Source organism: Homo sapiens, chromosome 2 (assembly GCF_000001405.40).
Source record: "Homo sapiens chromosome 2, GRCh38.p14 Primary Assembly".
Taxonomy (NCBI): domain Eukaryota; kingdom Metazoa; phylum Chordata; class Mammalia; order Primates; family Hominidae; genus Homo; species Homo sapiens.
In genome coordinates, this window is record NC_000002.12 from 226,999,214 (window position 1) to 227,020,644 (window position 21,431).

At 44.6% G+C, this 21,431-nt stretch overlaps 1 protein-coding gene across 29 annotated transcripts in view; it reads right to left on the reverse strand.

Annotated features, from left to right (window-relative positions):
- The window catches only part of COL4A4 (collagen type IV alpha 4 chain), a 197,129-nt gene that overhangs the window by 31,854 nt on the left and 143,844 nt on the right, over nucleotides 1-21,431 (reverse strand). For 10 of the 29 annotated variants that reach the window (XR_922837.3, XR_001738602.2, XR_007069255.1 and 7 more), the window contains exons 45-47: nucleotides 12,968-13,084; nucleotides 11,100-11,288; nucleotides 8,805-9,091 (exon numbers count right to left, since the gene is read on the reverse strand). The exons of 8 other annotated variants lie outside the window; for them this stretch is intronic. Coding sequence is in view for 18 of the 21 variants with exons in the window: in XM_011510562.3 (XP_011508864.1) it covers nucleotides 8,805-9,091; nucleotides 11,100-11,288; nucleotides 12,968-13,084 (593 nt within the window). In the remaining 3 variants the exon portion in view is untranslated. Of the gene's footprint in view, nucleotides 1-3,500; nucleotides 9,092-11,099; nucleotides 11,289-12,967; nucleotides 13,085-16,069; nucleotides 16,148-21,431 lie in introns of those variants that run through there. 11 more of the 29 variants (XM_047443228.1, XM_005246281.4, XM_005246282.4 and 8 more) reach the window with 4 other exon arrangements.

Below are 21,431 nucleotides of genomic sequence, written 5' to 3' on the forward strand. Positions count from 1 at the left end.
AAGCTCATTTATACTGTCACCAGTGGCGCACATAAACACTAGTGCCTGGTGCTTATTGATATCATTGTAGGTCTTTTTTTTTTCCCTTGAATCAATCACATCAAGGAAAGAATGATGGAAAGCATTTGCTGGTAGAAATAGAGACTTCAGGGCCTTTGTCAGCCTGAAGACATGTCCCACTGCATCGAATGCTGTGACCTGGTACACAAAGCTCAAGATTCCCACACGACCAAGAAGTGTCACCAAGGAGTCCCTGTGAGTAGTACCGAATCTTGCCATGTGCTTTTTACAGGTCTGCGTTGGATGTGTTTGTGCTAACATTTTTTCCTTCTGTGGTATTTAGGGGCAGAGAGAGAATGATCTTAACATCTCGATCAGATGATAGATGAATTGGCAGATTTAGATATGTGATTTATACTTTAGAAAAACTAAAATGTTGCTAATATAATAGAAATCATTAAATTTGGTCATAATAGGTATTGCTGCTTGGGAAGAGAGTAGTGTCATAAAATCAATGGCATCATGTGGCTTAAAGAGACTCTTGGAATCTGGGACACACACAAGCAAAACCCTAGAAACAACACTTCTGCTGTGTGGCTCTCTGGATGCGAAACTGGATCCCTTCTCTAAGTATTTTGAAAAACACTGCTCAGCCACCTCCAGTGAGGGTTTCTGCCAGGAAGTTGTGAAATTACTGTGTCTTTCTCTCACTATTTCCCCCTTAGATAACTTGTTTAGTGCCTGGATGAAAATTCTAAAAACAAAAATCAAACGAAAGTTTGTAACTTAAGAGATTCATGATATTTATTTGAGATTCTTTCAAGTTATTGCCTGCCTCTGACCTTGAGATACTATCTCTTTACAAGATCCTCTCCCTCAACAATTTAAATCTATCTTGCATATCCTTAGTAGCAGATAATTATTAATGGAATTGAACAAGGTCTTCAGACTCTCGTTATAGAGGAGCACCAAGGCCAACCTCTCTGCTCTTCAGGGTGTGCACCCAGGGCCCACAGCACCTGGAAGCTTCTACAGATTCAGACTCCTGCTCCCCAGACCAAATGATCAGAATCTACATTTTAACAGGTCCCCTGTGGTTTATAGGCACCAAAGTACTTCTCAAATTTCAGTGCGCACAAGTGCATTTTACACCATTTATTGCATGTAAAGCAGACTGACTGCTTGGGGACCAGAAGAACATCTTACTCCTCATTATACAATTTTCCCTACTTTTATCAAACATAAAAATGATTACAGGTTGAGAATTTCATCTGTGGCTGATAAAATTATAACCACTAAGTATATAATCACTGAGGATGCAAGCTACCCCCTAGAGATAATGTATGAAGGAATTGCCTTGCTGGCAAATGGGAGAACAAAAATGACTAAGTTGGCTGGTGCTGCAGTGACTGAGCATCAAGTAAGGGCCTTCAGATCCTCCTTTCTCCAGCTCAGAGCAGTTGCCCTAAATGACTGACCTTGGGTTTCTAGGGGCTCCAGAGGTAATATGGTTTGGCTGTGTCCCCACCCAAATCTCATCTTGAATTCCCACGTGTCATGGGAGGGGACTCGGTGGGAGGTCTCATGGAATCATGGGGGAACGTCTTTCCCATGCTGTTCTTGTGATAGTGAATATGTCTCACGAGATCTGATGGTTTTGAAAAGGGGAGCTTCCCTGCACAAGCTCTCTTCTCTTGTCAGCCACCATGTGAGACGTGCCTTTCACCTTCGCCATGATTGTGAGGCCTCCCCAGGCACGTGGAATTGTAAGTCCAATAAACCTCTTTCTTTTGTAAATTGCCCAGTCTCAGGTATGAAAATTTATCAGCAGCATGAAAATGGACTAATACAGGAGACACGGCTGGTTTTCATTTCTTTTCTTTTTTCTTTTTTTTTTTTGAGACAGAGTCTCGCTCTGTTGCCCAGGCTGGAGTGCAGTGGTACGATCTTAGCTCACTGCAAACTCCACCTCCCAGGTTGATGCCATTCTCCTGCCTCAGCCTCCCAAGTAGCTGGGACTACAGGTGCCCACCACCTGGCCCAGCTAATTTTTTGTATTTTTAGTAGAGATGGGGTTTCACATGTTAGCCAGGATGGTCTTGATCTCCTGACCTCATGATCCGCCCACCTTGGACATGGCTGGTTTTCAGTTGACCCTGAGATAAAGGCCTGTGGGATTCCCCCAAAATAGCTCTGTCCTCATGGGTTCCTCACCCCCTCCCTCCAGAACAGCTTGAGACAGTCTCCAAGCTGAGCTGGATGGGCTACCTTAGAACCCGTAAAACAAGGGGCTTTGCAGTGACAGGAGCAATCCAGGACACCTCTATGTGAGACCCTCTATTTTCTAACCAATTCACGAATGGGGAAAGCCGCTGGGAGGTAATGGAGTAAAGGATAAAAGTATTATCTTTAGAACAGACAGACGAGGGTTTGGATTCTACTAGATGGTGACTGTATGACCTTAAAGTAGTTATTCTCTCTAAAGCTCAGTTTCCTTGTCTGCAAAATAGGACAGCTGTAGGGTTGAGAGGAAGCATATATAGCAGAGCCAATACTGCTGCTGTGACATAGTAGACGGTCAGGGAATGTTTGTTAGTTGAGTACCCTTATTTCTCTATCAGGTAAAAGGTTGGCCCAAATACCAATGAAGTTCCTTCCTACTTAAAAGTAAGTCCAAGGCTGGGTGCAGTGGCTCATGCCTGTAATCCCAATGCTTTGGAAGGCTGAGGCAGGAGGATGATTTGAAGCCAAGAGTTTAAGACGAGCCTGGGCAGCAGAGCAGGACCCTGCTTCTATAAAAATTAAAAATTAACCAGGCACAGTAGCACATGCTTGTAGCCCACCTACTGGGGAGGGTGAGGCAGGAGGATCATTCGAGCCTGCGAGTTCAAGGCTCCAGTGAGCCATGATTGTACCACTGAACTCCAGCCTGGGCAACAGGCAAGACCCTGTCTCAAAAAAAAAAAAAAAAAAAAAAAGGCCACAAAGCAGTTATTGAATATCTGCACTCCACCTACCCCCATGTTGTTTGGCTATAAAGAGAAATGTAATCAATACCTAACTAACTCCTGACTTCAAGTCACAGTGGTTAAAAGTAACAATATCTTTGGTTTCATAAATCTCTTTGTAGTTAACTTTCACACCTTGAATCCTCCCAACAATGCTGTGAAGCAAATGGTCTTATTCTCACTCAACTAATGAGACAGCTGAGGCCAAGAGGGTGTAAGCCCCATGCCCACTGACCACTGCCCAAGCAGCTCCCGTGGGGTTGATACAGACCTTCCCCCTGAGGCCTGCTTTCATTTCTCTTCTGCGCGCCATCACTGTGCATAGAACAGTGTTTCCAAGAGCCTCTGAATCTCATCCTTTCCAGCCTACACTCTTCCCTTCTGCAGTTCACACTTCCACAAGTGTGAGCCACATTACAATGTAAGCTAGAAGAAAAAAGTAAACCCGCATTGGCTTGAAAGAAAATAAATGCACCAGATAAAACACAGTTGTTTTTGGAAGTCATCACAGAATTTTATATATAATGAACCATATTATAAATCGTAATACAACAAATATTTAAGTGCCAATGGCAGACCAGGCATCTTGCAAAAGTTACATGCTGAAAGTCTTTAACTTTACAACCAGAGGTTAGAGAAAGGGATGCAATTTATTAGACACATTTCACATTTTTCCCATGAATCATTAAATATTTAAGCACCATAAAATTCAAGCATTTCACATGGATGTGGCAGCCAGCCTTGGTGGTTTAAAATGCATTATGCAGAGTTTCTAGCAGATGATAACAGTGACAATTGCAGAGTACTGATTTTTAATGTCAATTGTTTGTTCCCTGCAGAACTTACTGATAATGTCCCTGCAGGAAATTGTGATATTTTCTGTGCTACAGTAACTTTGAGGATTGAAATGAAACAGCATTCCCAATGACATTAAGAATTGGCCACATATAAATAATTCTAATCAGTAATTTATATACCCTGTGAGAATCATAATTCTGTGTAAAAAAAAAGAAATATTTTTCGTATTAGTTTATTTTAAATACAAAATGTGACCATAGTAAGTGTATGATGATGGGTATGCTAGACAGGTAATCTAACTTAATTTTCAATGCAAGAGTAGCTGTTATGTCCCACCGTATTAATGAGGGAAATGAAGCTAAGAAAGTTGGCAAAACTCACCCAGGATAACAGCTGAAAAATGACTAAGCCAGATTTCAAACCTGGGTTCGACCAACTCTCAAGTCCTCTTCTTTCCACTATTCTTGCAGCCATACCAAGTAAAAGTAACAATTATCAGATTATTCCAGTGAGCTGATAGAAACACAGATCTAATATAATTTCCTGGAACACACTGAATGGTTTGCTTTACTGTAATCTACACGAGGTTCAAAATAAGATGATAAAGCCCAATTGTAGTGCACCATTCCATTGACTATTTTTCGGAGCACCAATAACATGTACACAAACGTTTAGCAAAGATTTTATGCTAGGAAGCTCTTAAATCCTGAGGGAATACAGATTACAGCATAAGGTAAGTCATGTCACATTTTACTGAAGGGTCTTCTCAGTCGGATCTCTCAAATCTCATTTCTGAAATTTCTGTTTATAGAAAAAACAAAAATCTATTTTTGGAGGGGTGTGATAAGCCCATTTTGAAAGCTTATCAATTGGCTTTCTGGCAATAATTGTAACAAGAGAATGTGGGTATACAAATATGTTGAATATTAAAATATTCTGAAATAGGAAATGGTTTATACTTGTAACCGTCTTGCTGATGAAGACCTTATATGCAGAGCTGAACACCTAATGCCTAATGATGTTTATGGAATTGTCATTGAAAAAAATGAATTGGCAGTAATGTGTTCAACTCTGTGCTAGGCATTAGGCATACAAAAACGAGTCAAGCATGGTCCCTGCCCTCAAGGGGCTTGCATTTTGGCAATGGAATGAAGGAAGTGCACTGAGACATTAAAGAAGCAATGGGGAACGGAGAAAATGAGGACAGCCCCGTGCACTGCACAAGAGCAGCAGAAGGGAGCCTAAGTTTCCCCCAGGGAATTCACCTCCCACGCAGGGTAAACTGACCCCAGGGAGGACATCACTGGTGAAGCAGGAGCAAAGTCGAAGAGGTGCTGGGAGTGTCTGCAGAGCTGCACACAGTTCATCATGACAGGAAATACTCCTAGAGGGAACCCTCGAACAGTCCCCACTGGACCTTTCACCCCATAGGAAGTCATTTGGACTTCATGGGCAGCGGAGTCACAGAAGGATTCTAATCCAGAGGGTGACAAAATCAAGTTTGGGTGGATCTTAGATGGCAACTGGGATTTGAAACTAAGGCACCAACTGGGAGATGCCTACTGCAAGGGTGGAGGTGGAAAACAAAGGCTGTGTGAGACGGGCACGGGGCTAAAGAGGAGGTAGCCATCCAAAGCAGCGATGACTCAGCTTTCAATGTGGGGAGTGTGAGAGCAGAACGAAAGGGCCACTCATAGCATGGAAACCTGCCTGGATGAATGGGCTCCACTCACTGAGAATCAGAACCCAGAAGGAAGCATCCCAGATTTCCAGCACGGGCACAGAACAGAACAGTTCCCATTAGGGCAATCTAGGCACGTTCCAGTCTACAAGGTTGGTGGGGAGGCAGGGAGAGAAGGGTTTGATAAGGATCATCTCCAATAATGGGTTAGGAGAACAACTTAAAAGCTTTGTTCATCACCTCCACAGAGAAAGGGTAATTGAAGGCACATTGATATATAACCAGGTGAAGAAAATAATGGTTTAAGGTAACAGGATCTTCTATTCCAAGAAGTTATTTTTCCGCCCTTTTGATCCTTTAAAATACTTTTGTAAAATTAGAGGGCAGTGTTAATGCTGCATTTAGAGACAGCTCTTGTAATACTAACATTTTGAACAGTCTGATACCTTCCCAAGCTCACTGTGGAGTAAACTGTCTACATAATTTAGCCTGTCTTTGTGTGGGTTTTTTTTTTTTACTTATTTATTAACTTATGAAGATAATATTCTAATACCAACATTAAAGTGTTTAAAATAATTAGCAAGCAAGATACGTTTCTGATGTTCCATTTGTCACCCTTACCTCTTCCCAGAAAATGTTCTCAGGCCAAGTTCAAGATGAACAGGTTGAACTTTTAGGAGGGTTGACTTTTGGTAATAGATAAAGCTTTTTGGGAAGGAGAAAGGTAATCACAAATAAGATTGAAATTGGCTTAAGTTTTAGGTGCACAAAAATATTCAACATGCCAGAGCATGGTTTAAAAAATATCAAATGGGTCAAATGAACTAGGAAATATTCTGCTACATCAAGAAAATATTTCATCTTAAAATACACATTTTTCTTTTTACCAGAAAATACTCTTAAAATAAATTGCCACCCTGGGGGCAGCCCATAGCAAAACTCATTTGAAATGTGTTCTGCATATAAGAGCTCATTACAAATCAAGGTTTGGCAAGGAAAACATTTCTTATAAACAAAATTTTAATTGAGTTTTTCTTCTCAATTATTTTTAAGTGCACGGAAACAAAGCACTAAAATGAGTGTCACGCTCATGAGAAATTTCTTTAGTTTTCTCTAAAATGCCTTTTTCTTTTAGATGAGGAAGGTGAGTTTCCTAAAAATTTTTTCCAACAAATCTTTTAAATTTAGGATTAGATCACCAAATTCCTAGCAAAACAGAAAAAGGGATCTTTTGCTTTACAGAAAAAAATAATCATTATAAATTGACACACATTCTAAACTTTTTTAGAAAATACTAATGCCAAATGTCAAACTGTTGCCTTGGTACAAGACTGATATGAAATATAAGAATGTCTTTAAAATTGGCAAAATGGGATGCTCCTGTAACAGCCAACCACGGGAGCATAAAATTCAAATTATAAATTGTCTTTGTTTCGTTTAAAGATAGTGCCATGTCCTCCTGATGGGGTAACCCTGACTTAAATGAATCTTCTTACCTAAGTTTAATTAAATCGGCCCTTAATTTTCTCCCAAGTGCATAATGATAGCTCTGTCACGTCCCTGTGTGAGCTGCCATTATGTGTGTGGAGCAAAGTGTCCGTTGTGAGTGCAAGAAGCTGTGCAGGCTCTCCTGGGGAGGGGAGTGAGATGCTTTGTATGAAGCGCGTGCCTGCCTGAGTGAGCCCCATGTAGCGTCAGTCCCATTAGCACGCACGCACCTGTGACACGCCGGACCCCGACTGGGGAAAAGCAGTCTGTCTGGAAGTTCACTGCAATGGGGAGTCAATTTTTGTGAATAACTACCTTAATATTCACTAATAGCTTTTAGGCTCCTAATCTCTTATTGAATATTTTTTTTCCATAATTGCTACTTTTCAAAAGGGTTGCCAAAGTAGGCATTTCTATTCTCTGAAAAATGCAGAAGAGAACATAATGTTTTATATTCATCTGTGATGTGTTTATGCTAATGTCGCATCTCTGGAATACGGCGACTGTGGGCCTTCCTGCCATCATGATTCATTCTCCTTTGAAAGGAACTGTTAACGCTGGCAGTGTGAATTTTTTTTTTTCTTCTTTAAAAAAAAATCTCTCTTTGCGTCATGGTTTTACCATTATTTAAAGTATATGGAAAAATAGATTACAGAGGAAATCATTTTGAAATGTTGAAAATCTCTGCTTTCTAGTTTCATTCATTGACCTGTTTATTTTTTCCTATAAAATCCATCCAGAAGCCCACTGTATTATAGAGTAATTGACTTCAATTGTTTGAGATACTGTTAACCCAAGAATGAAGTTTTCAGTAATGTAATTTGTAATCTGGCCTTTATCATCTACTTGCCTTTCTGAGAATTAGCATATTTTTAAGTAAAGCCAGTTCTTCGATCATCCTCAGTAAAATAAGAGTATCTAGGCTCCCTAGATTGGGAGGTCCAAACAAATCCATCTGTGCAGCATTTGCTTAATGTGTAAGGAACCAGAGGACTCTGGGAATAACCACGACAAAACAGAAGGAACCACTGAAAGGGAGTCCAAAATGAGCACCATGACATCTCTTAGCACAGTCTAGGAAGTCTTAGCCCCCTAGGAAGTTTCTCTTGGCCACGTGTTGGTGAATTTCGCATTCTCTAGCTATACTTCACGCAGACCTGGCACCGGCTGATTTTCTGGCGTTGGGCCTGGCTTTCTTTTAAGGTGTCTGGTGCTGGAGCAGAGGAAAACTGCAAGTCTGCTTTCACCGTTGTGAGCCAGAAGCTATACTTATTTGCGAAAAAGTGGCAAGTTCCCTGCCGGCCCTGGCATTCAAGGAATGGTGCTGCTCTGAAATCTTCCAGGCAGCTGCCAGGTGACATAAGGGCCTGCCCTCCTCCTTGGTCCCCAGCTCCTGTGTGCTACCCAGAAAACAAGAGAGAATTAGGGCTCAGACACACACAGACAACCCCAGACCCAATCAGGGACACACCCAGGTTTGGGTCTGATCTTAACATTTTTCCTTAGATTATTCCATAAAGAACAAAATACAAGCGCTGAAAAGGAGTCGTACTCAGCATGGTAAGTATGCACACAAATTGGCTCCAGTTTCACCGATGGCTGAAGCAAACTCATCTTCTAAATTCTACCAATGTGATCAAAATCAATCACAAGTGTTTTTAAAAGATAATGGCCCTGCATCCCAACAGGCTATGGTTTGCAACAGTCCCCGTAACCTTATGTCCTAAGCGCAGAGTGCTCAGAATTACTGTCCAATCCAGAGAGAAATGGCGGGAGAAGGTGTTAGGAAATGGTGAATGAGCCAGGGTTTTCAAGGGCACGGGACTCACCATCAGGAATGAATACCCGATCCAGAGGCTCCTCCAGGTCTGCGGACATGGGGGGATGGACTGGTCCTGGCTGTGCACCGCCACCGCCTGGGCCGGGGCCTCGCATACCGCACAGCGGCTGACATAGGGGCGGATCGCCTCTTCAGAGAGTGGCATCATGGGGAGGGGCGCAGCGCTGGCCAGCCAGTAGGATCTGTCGTTTCTCTGGGCATAGTGGCACACCTGGTGGATGTTGCAGTAGGCAAAGGGCAGCGTGCTAAATACGGGAAGGCAAGACCCTGCCAGACCTTGGGAAGGGAAGAAGAGACAGCTGGTGTCCAAGCACCCCATGTAGGTGTTCCCAGACCCTTCCTTCCTCCATCTGGCCTTTGCAGATACGTGTTCTGAAATCTGGAGGCCCTCGCCAAAGCCTGCTTCTGTGGTGAGGAAGCCATTTCTGACACCTCCCTGGTCCTGTGGGCCAGCCCTCATCCCCTCATCCCTCACTCGAGCCAAGCAGGGGGCCAGGTGCTGGAGGTGGGCACCAAGCACATCTCTGTGTTCAGGAAGCTCATGGCCTAGCAGGGAACTGGATGAGCAAACAAGCAATGAAAATACAGCACAACAAGCCCTAAGAATGAGAAGTGTGGGGATCCGGGACCTCAAGGAAGGATAACTGGAATATGTGATTTTAAGTTAGGACTTGAAATATGAAGAGGATTTAGCCAGGCTTGGAGATGGTGGTAGTGACTACTCAAAAGAGATATACCGTCAGAGGGGGTTGGAGATAAGGGATCGTGGAGCTCAGAGAACTCAGACATGTTCAGTGCAGGGACTATGAGGAGAGGGTGTCTGCACTGTCTGTCTCAGGAGTGTCCAGTGATAAATCAGACCATTGGATGTGGCCTTTGTCAATCTCGTTAAGGAGTTTGGACTTTATCCCAAGAGTTCTGCAGAGTTTTAAGATGTGTGCTCTGGTTAGACCAAGGTGGGAGAAGCAAGACGGATGATGGTACAAAGACCAGGCAGGAAAGAAATTGATGGCAGAGGGAGAGAAGGAGAGAAGGAAACAGATTCAGGATATTAAACATCACTTCCTCCTTTCTCCTGTGCTCAAAGAAACTAGCCCCTTGTGATGGGAAAGGCCATGGCCAAACCCAAGGGAGAAATGCAGGGGATGTACAAGTAGTTGCCAGCCCAGGCTTGCACTCTTTGACTACCCTTTTTAACAGCTGGGGTCACTGCCTAGTGAGAGCAATGGCAAGCACCTCACCGTCAACTGTCCCCGTCAGCATATCCTTCCTGCACCTTCCATTCTAACCATGATTTTCTTGGAAAGACAGTGTTTCCCGGCAGCCAGGTACTTAAGCCTTTGACTTGAAATCAGTCCCGCAGCTTGCAAATCTACTATTGAAAATTGGCAAGGGCTGGGCACGGTGGCTCACACCTGTAATCCCAGCACTATGGGAGGCCAAGGCGGGAAGATCACCTGAGGTCAGATATTCGAGACCTACCTGGCCGCAAGACCCCAGCTCTACTAAAAATACAAAAATTATCCAGGCATGGTGGCACAAGTCTGTAGTCTCAGCTACTCAGGAGGCTGAGGCAGGAGAATCGCTCGAACCCTGGAGGTGGAGGTTGCAGTGAGCCAAGGTTGTGCCACTGCACTCCAGCCTGGGCAACAGAGCAAGACTCCATCTCAAAAAAAAAAAAAGAGGAAAAGAGAAGAGAAGAGAAAAGAGAAGAGAAGAGAGAAGAGAAGAGGGGAGGGGAGGGGAAGGTAGGGGAGGGGAAGAGCGGAGAGCGGAGAAGTGACAAGGAGCACCAAAAGATGACCCTCAAAATAAAGTTCTGTAATTTAAATTGGAGTAGGGTAGGGAGTTGATGCTGGCAAGTGCCGTAACACAACCATCAGCGTGCTGTGGCTGCACCATTTTACATGTAAGTACAGGAACTGACCACATTCTGGTTAATTTACATTTGGAAGCAAAAAGTACATTTCATAACAGAGTTACATTTAACTTACTGAGGAAGAATCATTTTTATAAAACTAATAATATACTTATTATTAGCCAGATAATAATAATATACTTATTATAGCCAGATAATAATTATAGCCAGAATGAGCTTCTTTGACACTTCATAGGATCATAAGTTTAAAGGATTAGCTGAGAATGACCATGCTAGTGTTTTTGTTTTAAAAGTAAGAATAATCCCATATAAGGTTAGTGATCATTTAAGGTGCTGATGAATCAGTAAAATTAACCCCAAATTTTACTCTTCAGGCAATGGAGATGGGCGATCCTGTATCCATACCAAGGTCTTGATTGTGAGCTTTCTCTTGCCCTTCCAGGTATAACAGACTATACCCAGTCCAGAGCCTGGGCATGCCCAGGGGGCAGGTGGGCTCCTGGTCCGTCTGACTGTGGAGAACCAGGAGGAAGCCACCGAGGTATCCAGGGCCAAACCCTTTGGGCCCAGGATCCCCAATGGGACCAGGAGGCCCTGGAGGAACAAAGGAAAAAAATTGAAGGCAGGTTAGGGGGTTTGGTTTAACAAATATGTTAAGCACCTCTGTTCTGGCACTGTGCTAAGCACTCAGGGAGCAGAGGGGAGCATGACTCAGCCCCTCCTCGCCTTCTGGAACGTACACAGCTACACAGCTGCAGTACATAGAACAACTCATTCATCAAGTATTTGTTCCAAGCAACTCCTAGATGCCTGGGCTACATTAGCATAAAGACAAAAAACAGAGGAAAATCCCTGCCCTCATAGAGCTTGCATTACACTTGAGGAAGAGAGAGAAATAAGAAACAATAAGCATAACAAAAAGTTAAGTTATGAAATACGCTGGGAAGAAAAGAACAAGGACAGTGTAATGACACACCCCAAGTGTGGACTCCCCAGACTGAACTGCTGAGCAAGTGCTCCCCAAAGTCGGTCTTTCTTACACCTCCCAGACCTCTTCCCTGGTTCCAGCATATTATCAGTTCCATTCTGAGAAAGCCAAAGGCTTGGGATCCACATCTACAAGTTTGGCTCTCCTCTTCGAGAAGAGAGGGAAATGGAAGGAAGGCCTTGTTCTAGCATTCTTGTTGGCAGATGGGAAATCAACAGTTCTAGAGAACGTGAGCAGGGTCTGTATCCTTCGGCACCTCTAAGGGGCTGAACTATTGCAGAAGGCCAGGAGCTGTTTCTAATTGCCAAGAGCAAAAGGTGAAGTTAGACATTGAAACCAAAAGGTATTTTTTGTGTTCTACCCTTGGTTCTGCAAGACTGGCAGGCTCTCCCCATCTACACTGTCAACCAGAGACGACAAAGTGGTAGCCTGTGGACTGAATCAGGCCTGCTCGTGTGTTTTGACCTGTAAGGATTTTACAAGTTGATATTTTGAACGAAGAGAGTGTAGAGTGTAGGCCCACATTTCTGTAGACTATAATTGGCTGGAGCTGCGCTGCAGCTTTTAGCCAAAGCTCCATTTTGCTACAGACCTCACCCAGCCCTCCTCATTCGTTTCTACTCACTACTAACCTGGTACAGGAGTTTGCATCCCTGGCCAGGGACTCTCTGGAGATGGGATTGTGTCTCAGGCTCTTTGGATCCATGCGCCTAACGAGCTACATGGTGCATTGTTTCACACTTCTATTCTGAAGAGTCCTATGTCCCCTTTCCCAACACCACTTCCCATTTTTTTTCTTTTAAGAAAGAGCCCTGTTTTCTACATCAGTGTACTAATGGCTATATGATAAGATGAAGTGAACTCAGGAAACCAGGCGATTTGGCCACTTGGAGAGGGTGAGAACACACACACCGTCCCTGAGGTCTTCATCACAGCCTCTTAAGGGTGATCCCACAGCCACCAGGCTGACCGTCCCTTCATGACCTTGAAAAGTGAACTGCAGAAATGGCCAAGACTTTGATGATGATGTATAGCAGTTTGGGAAAATACTGAATAGGATGCAGGGCCTTGTCTAGGTTTTATGATGGTTTAACATCAGTTAGAACATAAGAGATGCATCCCACTCTGTTCTCATTGTTTCTGTCTCTGATACCTGGTGAGTCAGCATCTAAGGCAAATGATCTGAATAGGATCCAGTTTGGAAAGCCACTTGAGAGATCAGAGATTTTGTATACAACTCTAAGGTTTACAGTGTCAGAGAAAAGAGGAGTGACTGAAACTCTACCTGGTCCTCCAGGGTAGCCGTCTTCTCCTGTGTCACCTTTACGTCCGGGAGGCCCAGGAGACCCAGGGACGCCATCCACACCCCTCCTGCCATCCAGCCCAGGCTCTCCTTTGCACCCTGCACAAAAGTTTATGATGCTGGTGGTGAAAGCAACCATGACACCTGCTAGCATTTACCGTGCTTATACCGTATGCCAGCCGTGTGCCAGCCCCAGGCTTCCTTCCCACTTTGACTGAATGCATCAGCTCATTTAGTCTTTGCAATGACATGAAGTTGGGATTTTACTATCTCCACTTGCAGTTGGCGTAACTGGGGCCCCGAGAGGTCAAATAATTTGCTTAATTAAAGTCAGTGATCCCATAAAGGGCTAGGCCAGGATTTGAAGCCAGACCAGGGAGGTGTTGAGAGACAGGTTTTCACATTTTCTTCATAGTCTTCATATATTTGACTTCAAAAAAAAAAAAAAAAACTACTGAACATGTATGGCATTTATAATAAATATTTTCCTTAATAATGATTGTTTCAAAGCCTAGATGGAGAAATGAATGAAACTTAATCGGTTTCATTTGGGGTCACGTTAAATCTGGAGCATGATAGGTGCAGCAATTTTTTAAAATAGCTTTTTACTGAGTGTTTACAATGTGCTAGGTACCATGCTAATCCCTTTACGTGGATTGTCCAATTCAGTCTTCTCAGCAGCCATATGACTAGGTACTCATACATGCCAGTTATACCAGTGAAGAGACTGGGGCTCATAAAAGTCACAGAGCAGTCACATGTGGAGAGGAAACTTAGGCCCAAGGGAGCCAAGTGCAGAGGCCATCAACCACCAGACCCTGCGCCTGACAAGCTGCAGAGCTCTGGATATAACCTGGGGGACTTGGCAGCAATTGCGTTAATCCTTAAGGGGTTCTTTAAGTATGCAGTTACTTTTTTGTCAAGGCCTCAAATAATTAGCCACCATCTCCCTTCGGTCAGGGGAGCAGACACAATCATTGTCTTTGAGGGAGTTTATTGCTATTATACCTAATTTCCTGAATTACTAGCCTTCTCCAGGTTTCCAGTCTCTACTTGTTTTCTATTCTCTTTCTCTCTTTCTCTCTCTGTCTCTCTCTCTCTGCCACAGAGTAGCCTGGTATGGGCTGATTTGTGTACCCCCAAATTTCATATGTTGAAGTCCTAGTCCCCGTATCTCAGAATGTGACTGTATTTGGAGATAAGACCTTTAAGGAGGTGATTCTGTTAAAATGAGCCTCTTAGGCTGGGCCCTAATCCAGGCTGACTGGCCTCCTTATGCAAGGAGAAAATTTGGACACAGAAACGGACCCCAGGGATGCATGTCCCTGGAATGGCACAGAGGAGAGGCCACGTGAGGACACAGGAAGATGGTGGCATCCGCAAGCCACGGAGGGAGGCCTTGGGAGAAACCAGCCCTGTTGTGGCTCCTTGATCTTGGACTTCTGCATCCCGAACTGTGAAAAATTGTCTGTTGTTTAAGCCACTGTGTCAGTGATACTTTGTTGTGGCGGCCCGAGCAGACCAACACGTAGCCTAAAATCAAACATTAAATCAAAGGGGCTTGCTTAAGTGGCTTTCACTGTTGCTTCTTGCCTTCACCCTCCAGTGACTGGGGGATGATGATAAAGCTGAGGATGCCAGTCAACCCAGGAATTCATGGAGCCTCCCTCCCCCACCCTACTGAGGGACCAGCCTTGCCTGATAACCATTAAATGAGTGTGTTAACACAGACGCTGACCGAAACCCTCTACCCTTAAAGCAGCAACCCTGTCATGAAAAGGATGCATGGAGGTTTAAGGAGGTTTGACTTGATGTTGCAAGCTAGCAAGAATCGAAGATTTCCCACGCAGGCCCCTCCCTGCCCCTCTGCGGCCCCAGGTGAGGCCCCGACTGTGCGTCCACAAGTAGTAGAGTAGCTAACTTGCCTAGAGCAACCCTGGACTCAATCTTCCTCCTCCAACCCACCTGAGCAACATCAATAGGAAACACAGGGCTAAACAGTGCAATGACACGGTCCTACTGCTCCTGAGAACAGAACCCCAATGACATTCTGGAACACTGGCTCACACTTTGGTAGAAATCAGCATCTGCCTTGGTAGGGCGGGGTGGGGCATGAGAATCTGCATTTCTAGAAGTCCCCAGGTGATGCTGATGCTGCCAGTCCCAGGAACCACACGTTGAGAACCAGTGCTCTAGATGATTTAACTTTAAAACTCTTTCCGGTGATGACCTTGGCGGCATATTTTGAAAATCCTATATTTCTGCCTATTCTTAAAACCAGAAATTCTACTCAGGGAATTTAGTTTAAAGAAACAACAATAATAGCAAACACAAGTACTGTTTATTCTGTGTCAGGCTGTGTTCTAAGTGCTTTTTATGTTAGTGAATCCACATAATCCTCACAATCAGCCCTTCTTACAGATCAGGAAACTGAGTCATGGCTTATGTGGTAGAGCCAGAGTTATGAACATATGTCATCTACTTCCAGAATCTCTGCTCTTTTATTTCTTTTGTGTTTTGTTTGTTTTTCCAGATGGAGTCTCGCTGTATCACCCTGGCTGGAGTGGAGTGGCACAATCTCGGCTCACTGCAGCCTCCACCTCCCAGTTCAAGAGATTCTCCTGCCTCCTGCAAGGGCTAAAGGTACTGCCTCCCGAGTAGCTGGGACTACAGGCACGGGCCACCATGCCTGGCTTTTTTTTTTTTTTTTTTTTTTCTGAGATGGAGTCTTTCTCTGTTGGCCATGCTGGAGTGCAATGGCATGACCTCAGCTCACTGCAACCTCCGCCTCTCAGGTTCAAGTGATTCTCCTGCCTCAGCCTCCTGAGTAGCTGGGACTACAGGTGCACGCCACCAAGCCCAGCTAATTTTTTTGTATTTTTAGTAGAGACAGGGTTTCACCATGTTGGCCAGGCTGGTCTCAAACTGCTGACCTCAGGTTATCTGCCTACCTCAGCCTCCCATAGTGCTGGGATTACAGGTGTGAGCCACCACACCCAGCCCTTATTTCCAGAACCTCTGTTCTTATCCATTACACTATTTCTTCATGATAATCAGGGATGCGTATAAGTAAGATATCATTACCAGTTGCTTATCGTAGTGAGAAAGTGGAAACTCCTTAAATCAGAGTAGTTACTGGACCAGCAGCAGCAGCGGCAGCACCTGGGAATATGTTAGAAATAAAGACTCTCAGAGCCCTCTCCTTACCTAACAAATCAGGTCTGGGGGGGACCTCAGCGAGCTGTGTTTTAACAAGCTCCTCAGGGATTCTGATGGTTCATGAAGCTCGAGAACCAAAGCCTTAAATGTTCCTTGTGACGCCCCCTCCCTACCCCCAGGTTCAGCTCCCCTGTTAGAAATTCCCACATTACCCCTTATTAACACTCAACATGTCCAAACTGACTTGCTCAATGTCTTCATTTTCTGCTAGCCTGTGGCTCCAAAAAGCAGGGCCTTGTTGGATTAACTTCTTTCTAGCAGAGCAGCTGGCAGCAAACCAATCAATAATTGGTGAAGGTAGTGGTTAAATAAATTATGGCACAATCAGATAAGGCAATATTCCTCAGCTACTACAGATAATATTGTAGGAAAATACGCAATGACATAGAAGTAAGGTTATGTTAAGAACAGTTTGCCAACAAGTATGCCTAGGATGATCGTGCAGAAATAAAACTGGAAAAATATACAGGCAATTGTGTCTTTTAAAAGTGTGTTTAGTTTTAAGTTACCTTTTTTTTTCTTTTGTAATAAAGTTTTTTTCTTCCCCTTCACCAAATGCCTCCCCCATAGGCTAAAGGTACATCTCCCATCTCCTACCACATCCTTCCCTACATAAATGGTCTTCAACATTAGGTGGTTCTGCACCGCCCCACCCCACCCCTCACCCCAGCAGACACTTGGCAATGTCTGGAGGCATTTTGGGTCCTCACATGGAGGAAGAGGTCATTACTGGCATCTAGCAGGATAGGGGCAAGAGATGCTGCTTAACATCCTAGAATCCACCAAACAGCCCTCCAGGATAAAGAACGATCGGGCCCCAAATGTCAGCAGCACTGAGGTTGAGAAACCGCTCCACACAGTAGGCTACATCCAGGAGTCACGTGTTCATTCACCAAATGTTTACCAAACACCCTCCATGACCCAGGCCTGTGTATGGATATCACACTGAATAAGACAATATCCTGCCCTCAAGCTTCTTACGGTCTCTATAACAGTGGTTGGCAAATTACAGCCTGTGGGCCATTTACTGCCCATTTTAGTAACCCCAGTTACAGTGGAACACAGGCATTCATTTACGTGTTATCTACAGCTATGCTGCAGCAACAGGGTTGAGTGGTCGCAGCAAAGATCATCTGGCTCCAAAGCTGAAGCAGGGGATTGAAGTGTTCAGGTAATGAGGTAGATGTCTCACTTGCCTGCCCTCGGTTCCACACGCCCCACTGATTGTAAAGTCACGTCCTCATATTGCCTGCCTGAGAGTGTCCCCTTCTTCTTACATCCCTACGACCAGCCAGTCTCTCCCCTCCATGCCCTGTGCTGGTTGAGCTACACTCAGTGCAGACATCCCAGTGTCCGATATGCTCCTGTTATGCTTTTGTGCTCCCAGGATTAGAAACGAATTATTTCAGAGTGTCCTGGACTGCATGCTGTATGTGGTTACCATTCAGTAGGTGAGAAAGGAAACATCCCCGCCTCCCCATCTGGGTGAGAGGAGCCCTGCCCTTCCTGGTGACTGGGCAGAAACCTCTCCCCGGGGTGGCACTCCTGGTGGAATCTGGAACTCCACCACCTTCCAAGAGAGTATCAGTTATCTTGGAAGGAACATGGGGCCCCAACAGTGAGCTCAGAGCATTCCTTTCTCTGTCTCACCCAACAAGATGATTCCAACATGCAATATATTCTAGAAAGGGCTGCCTTAGTGCTTATGGGTTAGGAGTTTCTCCCTTCCACTGAACAGGCAGCAGCAGGGATTCCTCCTGATGTATAGACTCATGGTGAGATCACTATAGATCTGGGAAAAAGAGTCCTCACACCAGACGTTATCACGTGGGCTTTACTCCCTTTAGGGTGAGGCAAAGAGAAATTGTCAGGCGGAAGACATTTCCTGAGAAACAGGAAGGAAGGCTCTTCTTATTAACCTGAGCTCTATGTTCAGAGCTTTCCACCTTACGGACTTGTTCCCTACTTGGAATTAGTTTTAAGGAATAAAACTAAACATCAAAACAAACCCTCCAGTGTTAGATGGATGACCTCCTGAGAGGGCAAGTGTTGCCTTGAAGAGAAACACAACCCTAACAGGGTGTGGGTACATCCATTAGGCAGGAACAGTTCAAAACAAAATGGAAAACACTTTTGAGTTCACTGTAGGAAGCTTCAGCCTTTGAGGGCCGCCCTGGAAGGAAAAGTTGTAGATCAAAGAGATCTGTGTGTAGAAGAGCATTAGGCCTCCTGTGGTGGACTAATCGACCCACTTCGTGTGGCTGTCATCCACCCATATTGGGCAGGAAAGAGCCAGAAGTTTGTTCATTTTTAGGTAAGTCTCAGCTGTAGCACATGGTTACAAAATCAGCTTAGCAATGAAAGAAAAGATTTTTTAATTTTTTTTTTACCTTTTATTTTAGGTTCAGGGGTACGTGTGAAGTTTGTTACATAGGTAAACTCATGTCATGGAGGTTTGTTGTACTGATGATTATTTCATCACCCAGGAATTAAGCCCAGTACTCAGTAGTTATCTTTTTTGTCTACTTGAGGCTGGAGGGGAGGAGGAGGTAGAGGAGCAGAAAAGAGAAGATTCTGAAGGGAAAACAGGAAGATACCAACAACATCATTTTAAGTGAACATTGTTCTTTCTAGTGGCAGCCATTTCTTTTCAGCACCCAATCTTGAGGGTGGTATATGTGGTGGTGGTATATAAGCCCAACCTTTCCTTAAGGCTCTGCTCAAATACCACCTCTTGCTGGGGTCCTAGCTGTCCTGCAGTTCTCCACACTGGAATTAACCTCTCCCAGTACCCTTGACTTGCAACTCTTTTGTTTTGTTTTGTTTTGTTTTAGATGGAGTTTCGCTCTTCTTGCCCAGGCTGGAGTGGTGTATATGGCCCCTCACACCCTGCTGAAAAAATACCTTCAGGAAATGCTAGAGAATGAGCAACATGGCCTACAGATGGCCCAGGTCAGCCAGGGTTTGGCATTAGGCCCTTAGAATATACCTGTCACTCTTTAGTAACTGGACGGGATGAGCAATACAGCCAGTGTGCCCAGCAGGCATAGACAAGGCCGAGGAATACATGGCGGAGAAGAGAGGTCCTTTGTAACAGGAACCCAGAGGCTCCTATCAGAGAAGAGGGGCCCCAGAAGAAAGCAAGGGCTTGGGAGTGGGTGCACAGGACAAAAAGGAGCCCCAGGGAAGCTGGGCCACATGGTGAGAACATAGGAAGAGAAGGCGATGCTTCACCAGAACGACGGGGCACTTTTTAAAAAACATCATAATCATGTAGGTGTTAGAGAGGTGGCCTTGGAGTGTCCCCACTTCCAGCAGGCAGGGTCAGTGGCTCCAATAAAGAGAGGGCACAGGAACCCAGGGAAGGCCCTCCTGTGGCCACGTGCAGCAGATGAGCCCATGAAACCCTAAGTCAGGGGAATTAGAGATTACAGGCAAGCACACCTGGGCCACATAAGCACTAGACCATCTTTCAGAAGCTCATAGTCTATGGAGAGAGAATCTTGTTCTTGTTCATGTCAAAGATAACTATCATGTTCAAGTGTAAAGAATTGACCCATTCACATATTTTTCTCTTCCTAGTTACTTTCTTTGGTTATTTTTTTAAAGCCACCACAGTGGGTGACCCCAACCATCCCTCTGGCCTCAATTTTGATGTTGAGGTGGAGCAGTGCATTTCAACCTTGGCTGCCTGCTACAGTCACCTGGGGGGCATTGAAAAATGTTAACATTCAGGCTCTGCCACCTTCCACATTCTATTGGTCTGAGATTAGGCCGAGGTACCAATATTCTTTCAAGATCCTCCAGGTGATTTTAACCTGCAGCTAGGACTGCCTTGCTAAGAAACGTTCTACTCTTAGCTGAATCTTTAAGGAGTGCATTCATATAACAGGGCGTCTCAAATTTGAATATGTATGCAACTATTTTGGGGACCTTGTTAAAATGCAGATTCTGATTCTGTAGGTCTGGGGCGGGACCAAAGTTGCTGCTAGTTCCTGGACCAGGACCACAGTTACAGTAGCAAGGATGTTGCTAACTCCTAGATGCCTGGTTATTAGGCCAACCAGCCCAGTCTGTGCTCCCGCCATCTCCCTGTTGAACAATTCTGGCTCCTCAAAGCCCAACCTTTCGTTAAGGCTCTAGTCAAATACCAGCTCTTACTGGGGTCCTAGCAGTCCTGTAGTTCTCCACACTGGAATTAACCTCTCACCATCCCATTCTCCCAATACCCTTGACTTGCAACTCTTTGTTTTGTTTCGTTTTGTTTTAGACGGAGTTTCACTCTTGTTGCCCAGGCTAGAGTGCAGTGGTGCGATCTCAGCTCACTGCAACCTCTGCCTCCTGGGTTCAAGCGATTCTCCTGCCTCAGCCTCCTAAGTAGCTGGGATTACAGGCATCTGCCACCACGCTCAGCTAATTTTGTATTTTAAGTAGAGACGGGGTTTTACCATGTTGGCCAGGCTAGTCTCAAACTCCTGACCTCAGGTGATCTGCCCACCTTGGCCTCCCAGAGTGCTGGGATTACAGGCGTGAGCCACAACACCCAACTTGCAACTCCTTTTTAACATGAATTGTGTAATAATCTACCATTACTTTAAGTTATTTATATTCTGCTGGCTATTTCTTTCATGGGATTATGAGACCCTGGAGGGGGAAAACACATCTTACTCATCTTACTCACCCATACCACCTAGTAGCATACTTTACAAAGAGTAGAGGGAGTCTGGAAGTACTTACTGAATTGAATTTGCAGAACCCAGTTATAGGTCACGTCTTCAAGTTGGAAGTTATTTTTTTAAGTTGGAGGGACCCAGCTCTGGATATTGCAAATATATACACAAGGCAGCTTGGTTTTAAAATGAGGTTGATGACTAGTAATACCGACTGACAGAACTTTATGCATGCAAGGAGTATCAAGAAAGATGAGTTAAATAAAGACTGGCCCAATTCCCAGTTCTCACGGGCCGTTAAAAAAAGTTGCTACAACCAACACCCAATTAACCTGGTGCACAAACACAGATGCAATGCAATAAACACACACAACGAAAACCCAAATTAATTTGAGGAAGGCTCCAGGGCTGTTTTGGTCACCACCTAAGAACGAGTCTGACTCCTGTTGAGAGGAACATCTCTTGGGCACTTAACTTCTTGGTTTTGGGGAACCACAAGAAAAACAAGTGGTACAAAATTCAGTTCTGCTTCCAATTCCTGTGTCCCTGAACCAAAA